At 52.4% G+C, this 19,975-nt stretch overlaps 1 protein-coding gene across 1 annotated transcript in view; it reads left to right on the forward strand.

Annotated features, from left to right (window-relative positions):
• The window catches only part of PRR12 (proline rich 12), a 35,258-nt gene that overhangs the window by 7,488 nt on the left and 7,795 nt on the right, over nt 1-19,975 (forward strand). The window contains exons 5-9 of the mRNA NM_020719.3: nt 603-1,269; nt 2,822-3,249; nt 15,864-15,980; nt 16,207-16,340; nt 17,078-17,550. Coding sequence (NP_065770.1) covers nt 603-1,269; nt 2,822-3,249; nt 15,864-15,980; nt 16,207-16,340; nt 17,078-17,550 — 1,819 coding nt within the window. The remainder of the gene's footprint in view (nt 1-602; nt 1,270-2,821; nt 3,250-15,863; nt 15,981-16,206; nt 16,341-17,077; nt 17,551-19,975) is intronic.

Consider the following 19,975-nt stretch of genomic DNA (forward strand, 5'->3'; position numbering starts at 1 on the left):
AATTTAGCCAGGTGTGGCTGCGTGTACCTACAGTCCCAGCTACTCAAGAGGTTGAGGTGGGAGGATCTCTTGAGCCCAGGAGTTCAAGGCTGCAGGGAGCTATGATTGCATCACTGTGGCCTGGGCCACAGAGTGAGACCCTGTCTCAAGAGATAAAGGAAATTCTGGGTTTAGGGAGAGAGGCAGGAGGTTGGAGCTTACGCTGGTTTGAAACTCCTGACCTCAAGTGATTTGCCTGCCTCAGTCTCCCAAGGTGCTGGGATTACAGGCACGAGCCACCTCACCCGGTCTGCTTGCTTTTAGTTTCTATATCCCAAAGGATGGGCATTCAGGGATCCTACATTCCTGGGTCTCATGGGAAGCGGGTCTAGGGACCTGAACTGGGCTGTAAGTGAAGAGGCTCAGTGAGTCCAAGTTCCTGGTCTTCTGAGGGAGGAACTCCAGTCTTGTCCTCCTAGAATCTAAGACAAGGGGTCTGCAGGTTTGAATTCTATAAATTCACAGGCTGAGCACCTGTAAATTTGGATTTTTGGGGGCTGAGGGAGGATGGGACTGGGGGCCCAGGCTACTGGGCCCTCACGGCCCGCCACTCCCATGTCTAGATCAAGCTGTCTGTGCCCAAGGCTGGCGAGGGTCTGGGAACCTCATCGGGTGATGCCATATCAGGCACTGACCACAACAGCCTGGACTCGAGCCTGACTCGGGAGAAGATCGAGGCCAAGATTAAGGAGGTGGAGGAGAAGCAGCCGGAGATGAAGTCGGGTTTCATGGCCTCCTTCTTGGACTTCCTCAAGTCAGGCAAGCGCCACCCACCACTCTACCAGGCGGGCCTGACGCCTCCGCTCAGCCCTCCCAAGAGTGTGCCACCCTCTGTGCCAGCCCGAGGCCTGCAGCCCCAGCCCCCTGCCACCCCTGCTGTGCCACATCCCCCACCTTCCGGAGCCTTTGGGCTTGGGGGCGCCCTGGAGGCTGCAGAGAGTGAGGGTCTGGGGCTTGGCTGCCCTTCACCCTGCAAGCGGCTTGATGAGGAGCTGAAGCGGAACCTCGAGACGCTGCCCTCCTTCTCCTCGGATGAGGAAGACTCTGTCGCCAAGAACCGAGACCTGCAGGAGAGCATCTCCTCCGCCATCTCTGCCCTCGATGACCCACCCCTTGCTGGGCCAAAAGACACTTCCACCCCAGATGGGCCGCCCTTGGCCCCCGCGGCTGCAGTTCCAGGGCCACCCCCTCTTCCGGGGCTCCCCAGTGCCAACAGCAATGGCACTCCCGGTGAGCTCTGGGCAGGTGGTCTGGGAGTAGAGCTTAAAGGTTATTATGATCACTAGGTAACAGTTGTGCAGGTTACGCACTGTTTAAGAGACACCATTCACATACATGGTGTAAGCTTGCGTGTTTATGAAGGGACTTTCCTGATTACACAAGCATTTTGAGGAAGGTCTATCTTTTTCTAATTCACTCAGAGGTGCTAAGTGGACTAGGAGGGGCCCCAAGGCAGACACTGGAGAATGCAGGGAGACAGGGCAGGTGATAAGTTACAGGGACAGGACAGGGGCTACTCAGGTTCTGAATGGTGGGAGGTGTGGGAACTGAGGAGGGCTCTGAGTCAACTGTGTGTGAAGGTACAGAAAGATGTCTGGGGGCAGAGAAAGACTTGGGGATGGGGGTGGGCGGTGGAAGGGAAGGCTAGGGGCATAGGAAGGGTTTAGGTTGTGCTCTGGTTTTGGACACAGTTTAAGGAGTGTAATGTCAGAAACAGAGGCATTGGGAAATGAGAGGTGGGAGCTTACAGGAGGGCACAGAGGGGAGTGTTCAAAAAAAAAAAAAAACCATGACAGGCCGGGCATGGTGGACCACACCTGTAATCCTAGCACACTTTGGGAGGCTGAGACAGGAGGATCGCTTGAGCCCAGGAGGTTGAGGCTGCAGTGAGCCATGATTGAGCCACTGTACTCCAGCCTGGGTGACAGAGCAAGACCCTGTCTTAAACAAAAAACCCCAAAAACAAAACAAAAAGACCCTATAACGTTCTTTTTTTTTTTTCTTGAGACAGGGTCTCTCTATGTCACCCAGGCTGGAGTGTGGAGTGCAGTGGTGCGATCTTGGCTCACTGCAACCTCTGCCTTCCGCTCACCGCAACCTCTGCCTTCCAGGTTCAAGTGATTCTCCTGCCTCAGCCTCCCGAGTAGCTGGGACTACAGGCGCGCACCACCATGCCCAGCTAATTTTTGTATTTTTAGTAGAGACGGGGTTTCACCATGTTGGCCAGACTGGTCTCGAACTCCTGACCTCAAGTGATCCACCCACCTCAGCCTCCCAAAGTGCTGGGATTACAGGCATGAGCCACCATGCCTGCCCTCTGTGAGGTTCTTAAAAAGCCTGAAGAAGGGAGCTGGCAGACAGGGGAGAGGTTAGCAGTCTGCATACTGGTGAGCAGGCCAAGGAAAGGACAAAGATGGTCCTGGAGGGAGGAGGATGAGGCCTTGGAGGAAGAGGAGGTGAGGAAGTAGAGTTAGGGAGGTGATGATTTAGGAGTTGGGAGGGTCATTCAGGAAGAGGAGTTAAGAACCAGACAAGGGCTTTAAGACCACAAAGAGACATTCCAGGACTGAGAAGGGGATTAGGGATAGGAGACAGGTCTCCTTTGCAGCCGCAGGAGCCAGAGTAGGTCTCTGGAGAGACTCTGATAGGGTAGAAGGGACACTGGGAGCTGAGTGGTAGTTACAGAGGGGCTTTTGGTATAGAAAGCAGTGTTTAAAGGACAAGAGGAAAGGTGCCAGGAATGATGAATAACATCCAGGCCTGATGTCCCTGTCTCCCCCAGAGCCCCCGCTGCTGGAGGAGAAACCCCCACCCACTCCACCTCCTGCCCCGACTCCTCAGCCTCAGCCTCCGCCACCCCCTCCGCCGCCACAGCCAGCCCTGCCCTCGCCACCCCCGCTGGTGGCCCCCACGCCCAGCTCACCACCGCCACCGCCGCTGCCGCCGCCACCTCCACCAGCCATGCCCTCGCCTCCACCACCACCCCCACCAGCCGCTGCCCCACTGGCTGCTCCTCCTGAGGAGCCCGCCGCCCCGTCTCCCGAAGACCCCGAGCTGCCGGACACCCGGCCCCTGCATCTGGCCAAAAAGCAGGAGACGGCGGCAGTGTGTGGGGAGACGGACGAGGAGGCCGGCGAGAGTGGCGGAGAGGGCATCTTCCGGGAACGGGACGAGTTCGTCATCCGTGCTGAGGACATCCCTTCCCTCAAGGTGAGTCCCAGCCTTCTCCAGAAACTGGGCCTGATGGGTTTGGTCACCTGTTTGTTGAGTGCCCGCTGGATGACAGGCTTGTGCTGAGACCTGCAGATCCAGTCGTGGCCGGGCCGCCCTGGAATTTGCAGTCCTATGGGGCTGATAGAGGTGTCGAGGACCTGCGGGCCTCAGAGGTGTTATTTGCGTTTGTGTCTGTACATGCATTACCTGTATATAAGGTAAAGCGATTGTTAACGCGTATGTGTCTATATGTGCGTTACCTGTATATAAGGTGAACCGCTTGTTAATGTTTATGCAGATACCCTGCTGTGGGTGGTAGAGGACCAGTACTGTACAAGCAGATGAGGCTCTGGCCCTAGGGAGCTTCTAGTTTAATGGAACCAGCCAGAGAGGCGGGCTGCTTTGCCATTTATGGCACAATGGTGGAAATGTGTCATTGACATAGACTACCTGCAGATACACACTTATGTAACCTGTAAATATAATCATGAATTGGGCCGGACGCGGCAGCTTACACCTGTAATCTCAGCACTTTGGGAGTTTGAGACCAGCCTAGGCAACATAATGAAACCTTTTCTCTCAAACAAACAAAAAAAGTGAATCATTTAGGAATGGTTATTGTGTGTCAGGCCATATCTTTTTGTTTTTTTGAGATGGAGTTTCGCTCTTGTCCAGGCTGGAGTGCGATGGCTCAATCTCGGCTCACTGCAGCCTCTGCCTCCCAGGTTCAAGCGATTCTCTTGACTTGGCCTCCCAACTATCTGGGACTACAGGCGCAGGCCACCACACCCGGCTGATTTTTGTGTTTTTAGTAGAAATGGGGTTTCACTGTGTTGGCCAGGCTGGTCTCGAACTCCTGACCTCAGATGACCCACCTGCCTTGGCCTCCCAAAGTGCTGGGATTACAGGTGTGAGCCACTGTGCCTGGCTGGCCATAGCTTCAATATTTACCTTAAATACTTAAATACGTAAATGCAGACCAACAGCCTGTTCACTGCTTCCAGTTTGTCTACCGCAGGAGCTTGAAAACTATGGCCCCTAGGCCAAATCCAGCCCACTGCTTGTTTTTGCAAATAAAGTTTTATTGGCACACAACCATGCCCATTCATTTACATGTTGTCTATGGCTGTTTTTCCCATATGGCAGAGAGCTGGGTAGTTAGCTGGCCCTCAATGGCAAAAAATATCTCTGGCTCATCATGAATAAAGTTTGCTGGCCTCTACTGTACTGGGTTCACTGGACAAATAGAGTTGGATCAGAGGATTAATGTGCAAGGCACTTGACAGGGGTAGGTGTTACCAGGTGCCCATGGAGTGCTCTGCACAGGGCATGCGGCTGAGCAGGTGCTCAGGAGGTCAGCCCATTCTCACCCTGATGGTGGCATGGACGCCAAGGCCATTCTCCATGTCAATCATTGTCATTGATTGTACTGATTATGATACAGGATTATTGTTTGGCCCTTCGTGTACAGTGTGACATTTAATCTTGGCGGGGCATGGCGGTTCACGCCTGTAATCCCAGCACTTCGGGAGGCCAAGGCAGGTGGATCACTTGAGGTCAGGAGCTTGAGACCAGCCTGGCCAACATGGTGAAACCCCGTCTTTACTAAAAATACAAAAAATTAACTGGGCGTGGTAGGGCGCACCTGTGATCCCATCTACTCGGGAGGCTGAGGAAGGAGGATCACTTGAACTCTGGGGTGGAGGGGGGAGGTTGCAGTGAGCTGAGATTGTGCCACTGCACTCCAACCTGGGCACCAGAGCAAGACTCCATCTCGAAAAAATAATAATAATAATAATTTAGTCCTGGATGTTGTTTTAATTTAATCTTCGATGTGACATGGAGAAATTATGGGAAGAATTAATTATTAATTATAAGGATAATAACTATCATTACACTTTTTTCTTTTCTTTTCTTTTCTTTTTTTGAGACGGAGTCGCCCAGGCTGGAGTGCAGTGACGCAATCTCGGCTTACTGCAACCTCTGCTGCCCGGGTTCAAGCGATTCTCCTGCCTCAGCCTCCTGAGTAGCTGGGATTACCAGCAAGTGCCACCACACCTGGCTAATTTTTGTATTTTTAGTAGAGAAGGGGTTTCAGCATCTTGGCCAGGCTGCTCTTGAACTCCTTACCTTGTGATCCACCCATCTCGGCCTCCCAAAGTGCTGGGATTACAGGCATGAACCACCGCGCCCGGCCTTACACTTTCTTCTTAAGTGTGTTTTTTGAGGCAAACTCAAATGTATTTTTTCCTGTGTTATTTCAATCTATTTCATTGTGGGAAAAGTAAATAATAGAGCAGGCCGGGAGTGGTGGCTCACACCTGTGATCCCAGAACTTTGAGAGACTGAGGTGAGAGGCTCACTTGAGGCCAGGAGTTTGAGACCAGCTAGGCAAATAGCAAGACCTCACATCTACCAAAAACAAGGGAGCGAGACTGTCTCAAAAAAAAAAAAAAAAGGATATTGACATCGTAGGCCAGGTGCGGTAGCTCACACCTGTAATTGCAGCACTTTGGGAGGCCAAGACGGGCAGATCACCTGAGGTCAAGAGTTCAAGACCAGCCTGGCCAACATGATGAAAGCCCATCTCTACTAAAAATACAACAATTAGCCGGGCATGGTGGCAGGCGCCTGTAGTCCCAGCTACTCAGGAGGTTGAGGCAGGAGAATTGCTTGAACCTGGGAGGCGGAAGTTGCAGAGAGCCAACATCACGCCACTGCACTCCAGCCTGGGCCAAAAGAACAAAACTCTGTCTCAAAAAAATAAAGAAAAAAAGAATATTGACATTGTTAAATGACCGTCACCACCATCCATCTCCAAGTTTTATCTTTTTATATAAAATAAACTTGATTATAGAGACTACTAGTAGCGTTTTACAGGGATGGAAACTGAGGCTCACACAGGTTAAAAAGTCCTTCTGATTGGGGATTTCTATGCCCGTTTTTTCTGAGACAGGGTCTCCCTTGTTGTCCAGGCTGGAATGCAGTGACGTGATCTCAGCTCACTGCAACTTCTACCTCCCTGGTTCAAGCAATTCTCATAACTCAGCCTCTCGAGTAGCTGGGACTACAGAGGATCCCACCATGGTTGGCTAAATTTTGTATTTTTAGTAGAGATGGGGTTTCACCATGTTGGCCAGGCTGGTCTCAAACTCCTGACCTCGGGTGATCCACCCGCCTCGGCCTCCCAAAGTGCTGGGATTACAGGAATGAGCCACTGTGCCTGGCCTATTCTCATTTCATAGAGAAAGAAACCAAGGCACAGAGAGATAAAGTAGCCTTCCCAGGCTTTTGTAGCTTGGGATCCACACCCAGCCCTGCTGGCCCTAGGAATCCGTATTCTTTTTTTTGTTTGTTTGAGATAGTGTTTCGCTCTTGTTGCCCAGGCTGGAGTACAATGGTGCGATCTCGGCTCACCGCAACCTCCACCTCCCGGGTTCAAGCGATTCTCCTGCCTCAGCCTCCCGAGTAGCTGGGATTACAGGCATGTGCCACCATGCCTGGCTAATTTTGTATTTTTAGTAGAGATGGGATTTCTCCATGTTGGCCAGGCTGCTCTCGAACTCCTGACCTCAGGTGATCTGCCTGCCTCAGCCTCCCAAAGTGCTGGGATTATAGGCATGAGCCACTGCGCCCAGCCAGGAACCCATATTCTTATCCCCGACTCAGCCATGCACCGTGTACGTTCTAGTCAAACGCAGCTGAGCCAGCATTGGGTCAAATGAACAGGGCCCTGGGGCAGGGACTTTGACCATCCCCATTTTACAGATGGGGAAGTTCACGTTCAGAGAAAGGGAGTCAGTCGCCTGGCCAGTGCCAACCTGGGATTGGAGCCAGGGCCACCTGACACCACCTCCCAGCTGGCACGGGGCAGGGGAGGGGGCCAGGCGAGGACTCAGATGCTTAAAATACAACTTGAGTGTGCATTATAATGGGGGCAAAGCCCCACGCCTTTGCCAAATGTACAGACCTTGGGGACTCATTTGTGGGCCTAGAGATGGGGCAGGCTGCTGGCATAGTTAAGAGCCCAGCTTTGGTTTAACCTGACTGACTCAAATCTCTGCCACTTATTATTATTTTTTTTGTGTGTGTTTTTGAGACAGGGCCTCACTCTTATCACCCAGGCTGGTGTACAGTGGCATGATCATGGCTCACTGAGGCCTCAAACTCCTGGGCTCAAGCGATCCTCCCACCTCAGCCTCCCAAGTAACTAGGACTACAAGCATACAACACCATGCCTGGCAAATTTTTTTATTCCTTAAGTAGAGACTGGGGTCTCACTCTGTTGTCCTGGCTGGTCTTGAACTCTTGGGCTCAAGCAGTCCTCCCGTCTCAGCCTCCCAAAGTGCTGAGATTGCCGGTGTGAGCCACTGTGTCTGGACTTTTTTTTCTTCTTTTTTTTTTTTTTGAGACAGAGTCTCAGTCTGTCTCCCAGGGTGGAGTGCAGTGGCGCAATCTTGGCTCACTGCAACCCTCGCCTCCCACATTCAAGCGATTCTTCTGCCTCAGCCTCCTGAGTAGCTGGGATTACAGGCGCGTGCCACCACGTCAGGCTAATTTTTGTATTTTTAGGAGTTTCACTGTGTTGGTCAGGCTGGTCTCGAACTCCTGACCTCGTGATTTGCGCCGCCTCCCCCGCCCCCCAACCTTGGCCTCCCAAAGTGCTGGGATTACAGGCATGAGCCACTGTGCCCAGCCCATTTTTTTCTTTTATACCATCTCTCTTTTTTTTTTTTTTTTTTTGAGATGGAGTCTCGCTTTGTCTCCCAGGCTGGAGTGCGGTGGCACAATCTCAGCTCACTGCAACCTCCACCTCCTGGGTTCAAGTGATTCTCCTGCCTCACCCTCCTGAGTAGCTGGGATTACAGGCACCTGCCACCATGCCTGGCTAATTTTTGTATTTTTAGTAGAGATGGGGTTTCACCATGTTGGTCAGGCTGGTAGAAACCACTCTTAAAGCCCCTACAAAAACAAGCCATAGACCATTGTTTATTCCAGAAAAACAGCAATCCAATATAAATATCACCTGAGCCATATATGTGATTTTAAATGTTTTCATTCCTGGTTTATAAAGATAAAAAAGATAGGTGAAATTAGCCATAGGTGGCCAAAGTGCTGTAATCTCAGCACTTTGGGAGGACGAGGCAGGATTGTTTGAGCCCAGGAGTTGCAGACCAGGCTGGGCAACATTGTGAGCCCCCGCCTTTAAGGAAAAAAAAAAGAAAGAAAGAAATTAGCCATAGGAATGCATTTTATTTAACCTAACATATTGAAAGTATTATTTCGGCTACATGCGGTGGCTCACACCTGTAATCCCAGCAGTTTGGGATGTTGAGGTGGGAGGATCACTTGAGCCCGGATGTCGAGGCTACAGTGAGCTATGATTGCACCACTGCACTCCAGCCTGGGCAGCAGAGTGAGCCTCTGTCATGTACGTGTGCACACACACACACACACACAGAGTTTCAGCTTGTAATTAATAAAAACTATTAATGATGTTTTTGCCAGGCGTGGTGGATCATGCCTGTAATCTCAGCACTTTGGGAGTCCAAGGTGGGTGGATTGCTTGAGGTCAGGAGTTCAAGACCAGCTTGGGCAACATGGCAAAACGCCCCCCCTACAAAAAAATAAGAAAAATTAGCCGGATATAGTGGCATGTGCTTGTTGTCCCAGCTACCTGAGAGGCTCAGGTGGGAGAATCGCTTCAGCCTGGGAGGTGGAGGTTGCAGTGAGCCGAGATCGTAGCACTGCACTCCAATCTGGGTGACAGAGCGAGACCCTGTCTCAAAAAGAAAAAAAAAAAAGAAAAGCTGTTGGCCAAGCGTGGTGGCTCACGCCTGTAATCGCAGCACTTTGGGAGGCTAAAGCAGGTGAGTCACCTGAGGTCCGGAGTTCAAGACCAGCCTGGTCAACATAGTGAAACACCATCTCTACTAGAAATATAAAAATTAGCCGGGCGTGGGGGTGGGCACCTGTAATCCCAGCTACTCAGGAGGCTGAGACAGGAGAATCACTTGAACCTTGGAGGCGGAGGTTGCAGTGAGCCGAAATGACGCCATTGCACTCAAGCCTGGGCAACAAGCGTGAAACTGAGGCTCAAAAAAAGTAAAAGAAAAACTGTTAATGATGTTTTAATATTATTAAATGGGGTATTACTAAAATGAAAAGTTAAGAGGTTTTACATTCTTTTTTGCATACCAAGACTTCAAAATCCTGTGAATACTTTGTACTCGTTGAACACATCCATTGGACCAGCCACATTTGAAGTGCTCTAGCCGACATGTCACCCCAGTCATGGTGGCTCAAACCTGCAATCCCAGCACTTCGGGAGGCTGAGGCCGGCAGATCACTTGAGCCCAGGAGTTTGAGACCAGCCTGGGCAACATAGTGAGACCCTGTCTCTACACAAAATTCTTTTTTTTTAAAATTTTTTATTTTTTGAGATGGAGTCTCGCTCTGTCACCAGGCTGGAGTGCAATGACGCGATCTCTGCTCACTGCACCTCCACCTCCCGGGTTCAAGCGATTCTTCTCCTTAGCCTCCCGAGTAGCTGGGACTCCTGCCTCAGCCTCCCGAGTAGCGCAGACTACAGGCAAGTGCCACCACACCCAGCTAATTTCTGTATTTTTAGTAGAGACGGGGTTTCACCATGTTGGCCAGGGTGGTCTCGATCTCTTGACCTCGTGATCCGCCCGACTTAGCCTCCCAAAGTACTGGGATTACAGGTGTGAGCCACCGCGCCCGGCCTCTACACAAAATTCAAAAAAACTTAACCAGACATGGTGGTGCCCACCTGTAGTCCCGGCTACTGGAGAGGCTGACGTGGGAGAATCACCTGAGCCCAGGAAGTTGATGTTGTAGTGAGCCATGATTACACCACTGCACTCCAGCCTGGGTGACAGTGAATGTGACCCTGTCTCAAAAAAAAAAACAAAAAAAACAAATCAATCTCAAAAGCTCAAGAACCACTTGTGGGAACGAGCTGCTGAATTGACAGGGCCAGGCTAGCCCATTCTCCTTCCCCCGTCTGTCAACTGGGACTGTTGTTGGGGTTGTCATAAGGGCTGGGCAGCGTGTATACTCCAAGCATGTAAGAGTTCACTGGGTGGAGACTGGGCACAGTGGCTCCTGCCTGGAATCCCAGCACTTTGGGAGGCTGAGGTGGGTGAATCGCTTGCGCTCAGGAGTTCAACACCAGCCTAGTCAACATGGCGAAATCCTGTCTGTACTAAAAATACAAAAAATTAGCCAGGTGTGGTGGCACATGCCTATATTCCCAGCTACCCTAGAGGCTGATCACCGGAGTTTGAGAGGTCAAGGCTGCAGTGAGCCAAGATTGCTCGATTGCACTCCCACCTGGGCAACCGGAGTGAGACCGTCTCAAAAAAGAAAAAGTTGTCTGGGCATGGTGGTTCGCATCTGTAATCCCAGCACTTTCGGAGGTCAAGGTGGGTGGATCACTTGAAGTCAGGAGGTTAAGATCAGCCTGGACAACATGGTGCAATCCCGTCTCTACTAAGAATACAAAAATTAGCCGGACATGGTGGCGGGTCCCTGTAATCCCAGCTACTCAGGAGGCTGAGGTAGGAGAATCACTTGAATTCAGGAGGCGGAGGTTTCAGTGAGCCGAGATCATGCTGCTGCACTCCAGCCTGGGCCACAGAGTGAGACTGTCTCAAAAAAAAAAAAAAAAAAAATTTGTTGGATGGAGAAGAGTATGGTGTTGGGGTTGTCCAGGCAGAGGAAACAGCTGTGCAAAGGCCCTGTGGTGAGGGAAAGCACGCTGTGTTTGAGGTGTACAGGGATGCAAGGTGTTGAATGGCTGGACAGTGAATGCTGAGGCTGGGCTGGTGGGCTGGGCCCAGCCATGTTGGACTTGGGTGCAGGGGTGAGTTCCATGGGTGCTGATGAAGACATTAGGCTCTGTGCCGTTTAGAGCCCCTGGCCAGTAGGGAAGTGACTGGGGAGTTGTTCAAGCCTGGATAGTACTCTGTCCACAGCCTCTGTCCTGGGACGGACTCCCCTGTCAATGGGACCCTGCAGTTTTCTTTTTCTTTCTTTTTTTTTTTTGAGACGAAGTCTCGCTCTTGTCCCCCAGACTGGAGTGCGATGGCGCGATCTCGGCTCACTGCAACTTCTGCCTCCCAGGTTCAAGCGATTCTCCTGCCTCAGCCTCCCGAGTAGCTGGGATTACAGGCGCCTGCCACCACACCTGGCTAATTTTTGTATTTTTAGTAGAGACAAGGTTTCACCATGTCGGCCAGGCTGGTCTCGAACTCCCGACCTCAGGTGATCCGCCTGCCTCGGCCTCCCAAAGTGCTGGGATTACAGATGCGAGCCACCCCGCACCCAGCCTGGGACCCTGCAGTTTTCTCATTAATATCGAGTCTGAGTGTCTGTAGCTCAGTGGCTTACATCCGCACTGCTTACACCACATGTCTTAGCTTGTCGCAGTTCAGTTTCTCAGAAGAAAATCTGATTGGTTCTGCTCAGCCTATAGGGCCAAGATGAGGTCAGTGGCTGAGTGCAGTGGCCCACGCCTGTAATCCCAACACATTGCGGCCTGAGGTGGGAGGTTTGCACGAACCTGGGAGTTGGGCATGCCATGGTAAAACCCTGTTCCTATTTTTTTTTTTTTTGAGATGGAGTCTCGCTCTGTTGCCCAAGCTGGAGTGCTGTGGCGCGATCTCAGCTCACTACAAGCTCCGCCTCTGGGTTCACGCCATTCTCCTGCCTCAGCCTCTCAAGTAGCTAGGACCACAGGCGCCCGCCACCACGTCCGTCTAATTTTTTGTGTATTTTTAGTAGAGACGGGGTTTCACCATGTTAGCCAGGATGATCTCGATCTCCTGACCTCGTGATCCGCCCGCCTTGGCCTCCCAAAGTGCTGGGATTACAGATGTGAGCCACTGCGCCCGGCCTTTTTTTTGTTTTGTTTTTTGAGACGGAGTTTCACTCTGTCTCCCAGGCTGGAGTGCAGTGGCACAATCTTGGCTCGCTGCAACCTCTGCCTCCCAGGTTCAAGTGATTGTCCCCTCAGCCTCCCGAGTAGCTGGGACTACAGGCATGCACCATCATGCCCGGCTAATTTTTGTATTTTTGTAGAGACGGGGTTTCACCATGTTGGCCAAGCTGGTCTTGAACTACTGACCTCAGGTGATCCATCTGCCTCGGCCTTCCAAAGCGTTGGGATTACAGGCATGAGCCACTGCGCCTGGCCATGAAACCCCATTGCCACAAAAAATACAAAAATTATCCAGGAGTGGTGGCGCATACCTGTAGTCCCAGCTACTTGGTGGGTAGGTGGCTGAGGCAGGAGGATCACTTGAGCCTAGGAGGCCATAGGTAAGCTATGGTCATGGTTGTGCCACTGCACTCCAGCCTGGGTAACGGACTGAGAGGGTCTCACAAAAACAAAGAACAAAACAAAAAAGGCCAGGCACAGTGGCTCACGCTTGTAATCTCAGCACTTTGGGAGGCCGAGGCAGGTGGATCACCTGAGGTCAGCGGTTTGAGACCAGCCTTGCCAACCTGGTAAAACCCTGCCTCTACTAAAACTACAAAAGATTAGCTGGCCCTAGTGGCAGGTGCCTGTAATCCCAGCTACTTGGGAGGCTGAGGCAGGACAATCACTTGAACCCAGGAGGCAGAGATTTCAGTGAGCTGAAATCACGTCACTGTACTCCACCCTAGGCGAAACTCTATCTAAAAAAAAAAAAAGGCCGGGCGCGGTGGCTCACGCCTGTAATCCCAGCACTTTGGGAGGCAGAGGCGGGCGGATCATGAGGTCAGGAGATCGAGACCATCCTGGCTAACGCGGTGAAACCCCGCCTCTACTAAAAATACAAAAAAATAGCCGGGCGTGGTGGCGGGCGCCTGTGGTCCCGGCTACTCGGGAGGCTGAGGCAGGAGAATGGCGTGAACCCGGGAGGCGGAGCTTGCAGTGAGCCGAGGTCGCGCCACTGCACTCCAGCCTGGGCGACAGAGCGAGACTCCGTCTCAAAAAAAAAAAAAAAAAAAAAAAAAACAGGCCGGGCACAGTGGCTCACCCCTGTAATCCCAGCACTTTGGGAGGCCCAGGCGGGCGGATCATGAGGTCAAGAGATCGAGACCATCCTGGCCAACATGGTGAAACCCCGTCTCCACTAAAAATACAAAAATTAGCTGAGCGTGGTGGCATGTGCCTCTAGTCCCAGCTATTCGGGAGGCTGAGGCAGGAAATCACTTGAACTCAGGAGATGGAGGTTGCAGTGAGCCGAGATTGCGCCACTGCACTCCAGCCTGGCGACAGAGCAAGACTCTGTCTCAAAAAAAAAAAAAAAAAAAGCTTGCTAGTGAGCTCCCCAGGTCAAGTCTCCAATCAGCTGTGGGTATGGAACCATTGAGTAGGAGGCTGTGGGCCAGGCCACTTTTCTAGTAATCGGCAGTTGGCATGGTCAGTGATATGAGTGACATGATGAGAGGCAGGATGGGTGGGGCTTGGGGATTGACTGGCCCTGTTTGGGGAACGGGCAAGGCTGAAGTCAGGGTGAGGCCTGATGACTGGGTGTGGGGTGGGGATGCTGGGAGGAAAAGTGGTTTGATGGAAGGTACCAAGCCCAGTGAGAATGTGCTAGCCAGAGGGTCTGATCCCAGCTACAGTGTCAACAGCTTCCTGAGAGGTCACCAACACCGGGAGTGGGAGGGGGCAGAGGTAGGGGTGGTCTCCTTGGGCTGACAAGATGCTCCAATGGCTTCCTCAAGCTGCTGCTTTTTCTTTTTGAGACAGGGTCTTGCTCTGTTGCCCAGGCCAGAGTGCAGTGCTGTGATCTCAGCTCACTGCAACCTCCACCTCCCGGGTTCAAGTGATTCTCCTTCCTTAGCCTCCCAAGTAGCTGGGAGTACAGGCACGCACTACCACACCTGGCTAATTTTTGTATTTTAGTAGAGGTGGGGTTTCACCATGTAGGCTGGGCTGGTCTCAAACTCCCGACCTCAAGTGATCCCACCTCGGCCTCCCAAAATGTTGGGATTAAAGGTGTGAGCCACTGCACTCAGCCTGGCCCCCCTTTTAAAGACATGTTCCTTCCAGGGACTCTTTTTGGCATCCGTCACCTATTCCAGGAAGCATTCTTGGATTCAGTTTAAATTTGAGGACAAGCGCGGTGGCTCATGCCTATAATCCCAGCACTTTGGGAGGCCGAGGCAGGTGGATCACCTGAGGTCAGGAGTTCAAGACCAGCCCGGCCAACATGGCAAAAACCCCTTCTCTACTAAAAATACAAAAATTAGCCTGGTATCGTAGGTGCCTATAATCCCAGCTACTAAGGAGGCTGAGGCAGGAGAGTCATTTGAACCCAGGAGGCGCAGGTTGCAGTGAGCCGAGATTGCGCCCCTGCACTCTAGCCTGGCTGACTGAGGCTCCATCTCAAAAAAAAAAAAAAAAAAAAAATCTGAGGCCCCTCCTCTAGGCTTCTGTAGTGTCCAGGGAATTGGCATTAGGACATTTATGACTTGTACTATTATTTCTTGTGTCCATATTTCGCGCCTCTGCTGCCCTTTTAGTCCTCAAGGTCACATGCTCAGTGTGACTCACGTCCATCAGTTGCCATCGCCCAGCTGGGGCACACACAAACTGCAGGGTGGTGGTGGTTGGTGTTCAGGTGTTTGTGGGGCAGGGGGAGCAGAGATAGGGAGCCTTCCTGTTGCTCTGTCTTCCCTGCTGTGGACATGCTGGTGAAATGGTCTCAGGTAACCTCACCTGCCTGTTCTTGGCACAGGCCACAAACTCACCCTGTTTTGTTTATTTGCTTGTCTGTCTCATTACCTCTGTTATTACCTGAGAAGGCTTTTTCAGTGTCTTAGACTCCTCAGGTTGCTATACCAGAATACCATAGACTGGGTGGCTTATAAGCAACAGAGATTTGGCTGGGCTTGGTGGATCACGCCTCTAATCCTAGCACTTTGGGAGGCCGAGCCGGGTGGATCACCTGAGGTCGGGAGTTCAAGACCAGCCCGACCAACATGGAGAAACCCCGTCTCTACTAAAAATACAAAATTAGTCGGGTGTGGTGGCGCATGCCTGTAATTCCAGTGTCTCAGGAGGCTGAGGCAGAAGAATCGGCTTGAACCCGGGAGGCGGAGGTCGCAGTGAGCTGAGATTGCGCCACTGCACTCCAACCTGGGCAACAAGAGCAAAACTCCGTCTCAAAAAAAGAAAAAGTAAAAAGAGAATTATGTGGGGGGACAGTCAGACCACAACAGGACGTCTTGCTCACAACCGTACTCTCCTGTCCAGCACAGTAAATAGCAGGCGGTGTTCAAAGATTGTCATTACTCTGAGTCACACAGGAAGTTTTGGGCTTTCACCCCGTAAAGCAATAGTGACTCAAACTCTACAGCCTGAGAACGAGCAGCCCAATCCAGGGTACTGGGTGGGCAGGAGGCGACAGGGTCAAGTTCAAGCTGTACACAGAGCTGAACACATCATGGGGGTAGAAGATATTTGTTGTTGACGTGTCTGCCTTTTCTCTAAGGGGATGGTGAGGGAAGCCAGTGGGCCAGGGCGTAGGGGCAGTAGGTCTAGGAATGAGGGCTGACCCTGCTGGCCTCACCACACCCCTCCTCCTCAGCTGGCGTTGCAGACGGGGCGTGAACCCCCACCCATCTGGCGAGTCCAGAAGGCCCTTCTGCAGAAATTCACTCCGGAGATCAAGGACGGCCAGAGGCAGTTTTGTGCCACCAGTAATGTAAGCCTGCAAAGGGGACCAAGGACTTGGGGGCCCCGGGGCGTGGTATCTAGGAGCTGGGGTTCCCCTTAGTGTGGCTGTGACTCACTCCACAGTGTATCTGGAAGGGGGCCCCCTGCTGCCGGCAGGCTCCAAGCAGCTGCCATGGTGGCCCAGGGCACGGGGGTGTTGGCCATCTGGCTGGGCAGTGTGAAGAATTTCCTCATGTGCCTCTTTCTCCCCATAGTATTTGGGGTATTTTGGGGATGCAAAAAATCGGTACCAGCGCCTCTATGTAAAGTTCCTGGAAAATGTCAATAAGAAGGACTACGTGAGGGTCTGTGCTCGGAAACCCTGGCATCGGCCCCCAGTGCCAGTCAGGTACCAACCATGGGGGACACAGGGGCAGGTAGTATGTAGCGCCGACAGGCATGGGGATGCGGCATGCAAGAGAGAAGGCTGGAGAGTGGGGGGTGGGGACAGAGAGAGGAGACAGAGCCCAGAGAGAGAGGGGGACAGAGACCCGGAGAGAAATAGGGACAGAGACCCAGAGAAGGGGGGATAGAGACCCAGAGACAGGAGGGGAACAGAGACCCAGAGGTGGGGGGACAGAGACCCAGAGATGGGAGAACAGAGAACCAGACGCATGAGGGAGACGGAGACTCAGAAGGAGACAGAGACCCAGAGAAAAAGAGGGACAGAGATGGGGGAGGACAAAGATCCAGAGACAGGGAGACAGAGACCCAGAGACGGGAGGGGACAGAGACTCACAGAAGGCTACAGAGACCTGGGGTGGACAGAGACCCAGAAAGAGGGGGATAGAGACCCAGAGAGGGAGGGGAATAGAGACCCAGAGAGGGAGGGGGTCAGAGACCCAGAGAGGGAGGGGGTCAGAGACCCAGAGAGGGAGGGGGTCAGAGTCCCAGAGAGGGAGGGGGTCAGAGTCCCAGAGAGGGAGGGGGTCAGAGTCCCAGAGAGGGAGGGGAACAGAGACCAGAGAGAGGAGGGGACAGTATGAGAGAAGCTATTCCTGTGCCTAGGGCACTGAGCAGGGACCCTGAGGAGAATTTGGATTATTGGGGGCTGCTGACTACAGTCCCTTCTCTGTTCCCTTCTAGACGCTCTGGGCAGGCCAAGAACCCCGTATCTGCTGGGGGTAGCTCTGCACCTCCCCCTAAGGCCCCAGCACCACCTCCCAAGCCTGAGACCCCTGAAAAGACGACATCTGAGAAGCCCCCAGAGCAGACTCCTGAGACGGCCATGCCTGAGCCCCCTGCCCCCGAGAAGCCCTCCCTCCTGCGGCCTGTTGAGAAGGAAAAGGAGAAGGAGAAGGTGACACGTGGAGAGCGGCCATTGCGGGGTGAGCGGGCCACCAGCGGACGGCAGACACGGCCAGAGCGGAGTCTCGCCACGGGACAACCTGCCACATCCCGGCTGCCCAAAGCCCGGCCTACCAAGGTGAAGGCTGAACCGCCCCCTAAGAAGAGGAAGAAATGGCTGAAGGAGGCAGGCGGCAACGCTACAGCAGGCGGGGGCCCACCAGGCAGCTCCTCGGACTCGGAGTCCTCCCCTGGAGCCCCCAGCGAGGACGGTGAGGCCCTAGGCAGCCTCAGGGCTGCAGGGGTGGGTGGGGAAGGGACACAGGTGAGGGCTGTCCAGAGGGCTCCAGGTAGCCTTGGCAGGACAGTAAGAACCAGTATGTTACAGATAATGGCAGTAGCTCACAGTCACGGGGCATCTCACTACACGACAGGCTGCCTCCTGAGAAGCTGATGGATGTTAACTTGTGTAATTTTCACCCATCCTAGTAGGTAGATACTGTTATCCTCATCTACAGATGAGGAAGCTGAGGCTCCAAGAGAGGGCAGCACAGTCTGTGTTGGGTGCCCAGCAGAGTTGCAACTGAGCCCAGGGTGCCTCGGACTCTGTTCTTCAGTGCTGCGTTCTGCCTCATAATAGGCAAGATTTGAGGGCTGAGGAAGATGTGGGACTAGGCAGCTGTCCTGGAGGCTCTGTGATGGTGGGGTTTCCTGTGAGGCCCTGGGTGACCCTGAGAAAGAGGCATAACCTCTTGTGCCTTAGTGACCTCACCTGTAAAATGGGTTCATAATAGACGAAGCTCATAGGAGAGTGCCAATCTTTAGTAGACACTACCTGTCTACTCCATGTCTGCCCAGCACACTGCCACATCCTCAGTGCTTATGATGATGTCTGGTTAGGCCGGGCACAGTGGCTCGCGCCTGTAATCCCAACACTTTGGGAGGCCAAGGTGGGCGGATCAGCTGAGGTCAGGAGTTCAAGACCAGCCTGACCAACATGGTGAAATCCCGGCTTTACTAAAAAATACAAAAATTAGCCCAGCATGGTGGCGTGTGCCTGTAATCCCAGCTACTCAACGAGGCTGAGGCAGGAGAATCACTTGAACCCGGGAGGCAGAGGTTACGGTGAGCTGAGATCAGGCCACTGCACTCCAGCCTAGATGACAGAACAAGACTCCGTCTCAAAAAAAAAAAAAAAAGTCTGGTTAGTGATGACAATAACAACAACAAAAATAAATATATATTCACATATGTACAGTAAGGGTAACAGCTGATTTTTGTTGAGTGTTTACTATGTACCAGAAATCATTTTAAACATTTGCACACAGGCTTACTTGACCTTTACCTAATAAACCCCGTGAGATAGCTTGGTAGAATTATCCTCATTTTAAAGATGGGGGCTGGGTGTGGTGGCTCGCACCGGTAATCCCTTCACTTTGGGAGGCTGAGGTGGTAGACTCACTTGAGCTCAAGAGTTCGAGATGAGCCTGGGCAACATAGTGAGACCCCGTCTCTACGAACAAATTTTTAAAAATTAGCTGGGCTTGGTGGTGAATGCCTGTAGTCCCAGCTACTCAGGAGGCTGAGGCAGAAGGATCACTTGAGCCCATGAGTTCAAGGCTATGGTGAGGTATGATTACACCACTGCTTTCCAGCCAGGGTGACAGAATTAGACCCTGTCTCTAAGGATAACTTCTTAAATAAATAAAAGATGAAGAAACTGAGGCACCAAGAGGTGATGGTACCTGGTCAGGGCCACACAGTACAGGGGTAGCTGTTTTAACAGAGATTAGAATTAGCGAGTCAAATGAGGAAGGCGGAATTGTCTTTCCATCAAAGCCCTGATATAGCAGGGAGATGTATAGAAAATAAAAGCGGCCGGGCACAGTGGCTGATGCCCAGCACTTTGAGAGGCCGAAGCGGGCAAATCACCTTAGGTCAGGAGCTCGAGACCAGCCTGGTCAACATGGAGAAACCCCGTCTCTACTAAAAATAAAAAAATTAGCCGGGTGTGGTGGTGCATGCCTATAATCACAGCGACTCGGGAGGCGGAGCCAGGAGAATCACTTGAACCTGGGAGGCAGAGGTTGCAGTGAGCTGAGATTGCGCCATTGCATTCCAGCCTGGGCAACAGAGGGAAACTCGGTCTCAATAAATGAATGAACGAACGAATGAATGAATGGCTCTTTTTCAGGGTTGTCCAGGGTCCCAGTTTCCTTCTCTCTTGTTGACCGGCTGTTTGCCTTGTTGCTGGGGTCATGACCCCTTTCCAGTGAGCCCAAGCCCTGTTTCTGCCCCTGGCCACCCCACAGACCTTCCCCAACACCCCCAAATCCCATCAAGCTCTGTGTCCTGGCTTCCCCATCTTAGGGACCGGACCTCTGGCTACACAGTCACCTGACCAGACTTCCCAGGAGCCATCCTCACCTCTTTTCCTTTTCTTTTCTTTTTTTTTTGAGACAGAGCCTCACTCTGTCACCCAGGTTGAAGTGCAAAGTGGTGTAATTTCAGTTCACTGAAACCTCCACCTCCTGGGTTCAAGTGATCCTCCTTCTTCAGCCTCCCAAGTAGCTGGGACTATAGATGTGTGCCACCATGCCCGGCTAATTTGTGTATTTTTAGTAGAGATGAGGTTTCACCATGTTGGCCCAGGATGGTCTCGAACTCCTGACCTCAGGCGATCCTCTCGCCTCAGTC

Source organism: Homo sapiens, chromosome 19 (genome assembly GCF_000001405.40).
Source record: "Homo sapiens chromosome 19, GRCh38.p14 Primary Assembly".
Lineage (NCBI taxonomy): Eukaryota > Metazoa > Chordata > Mammalia > Primates > Hominidae > Homo > Homo sapiens.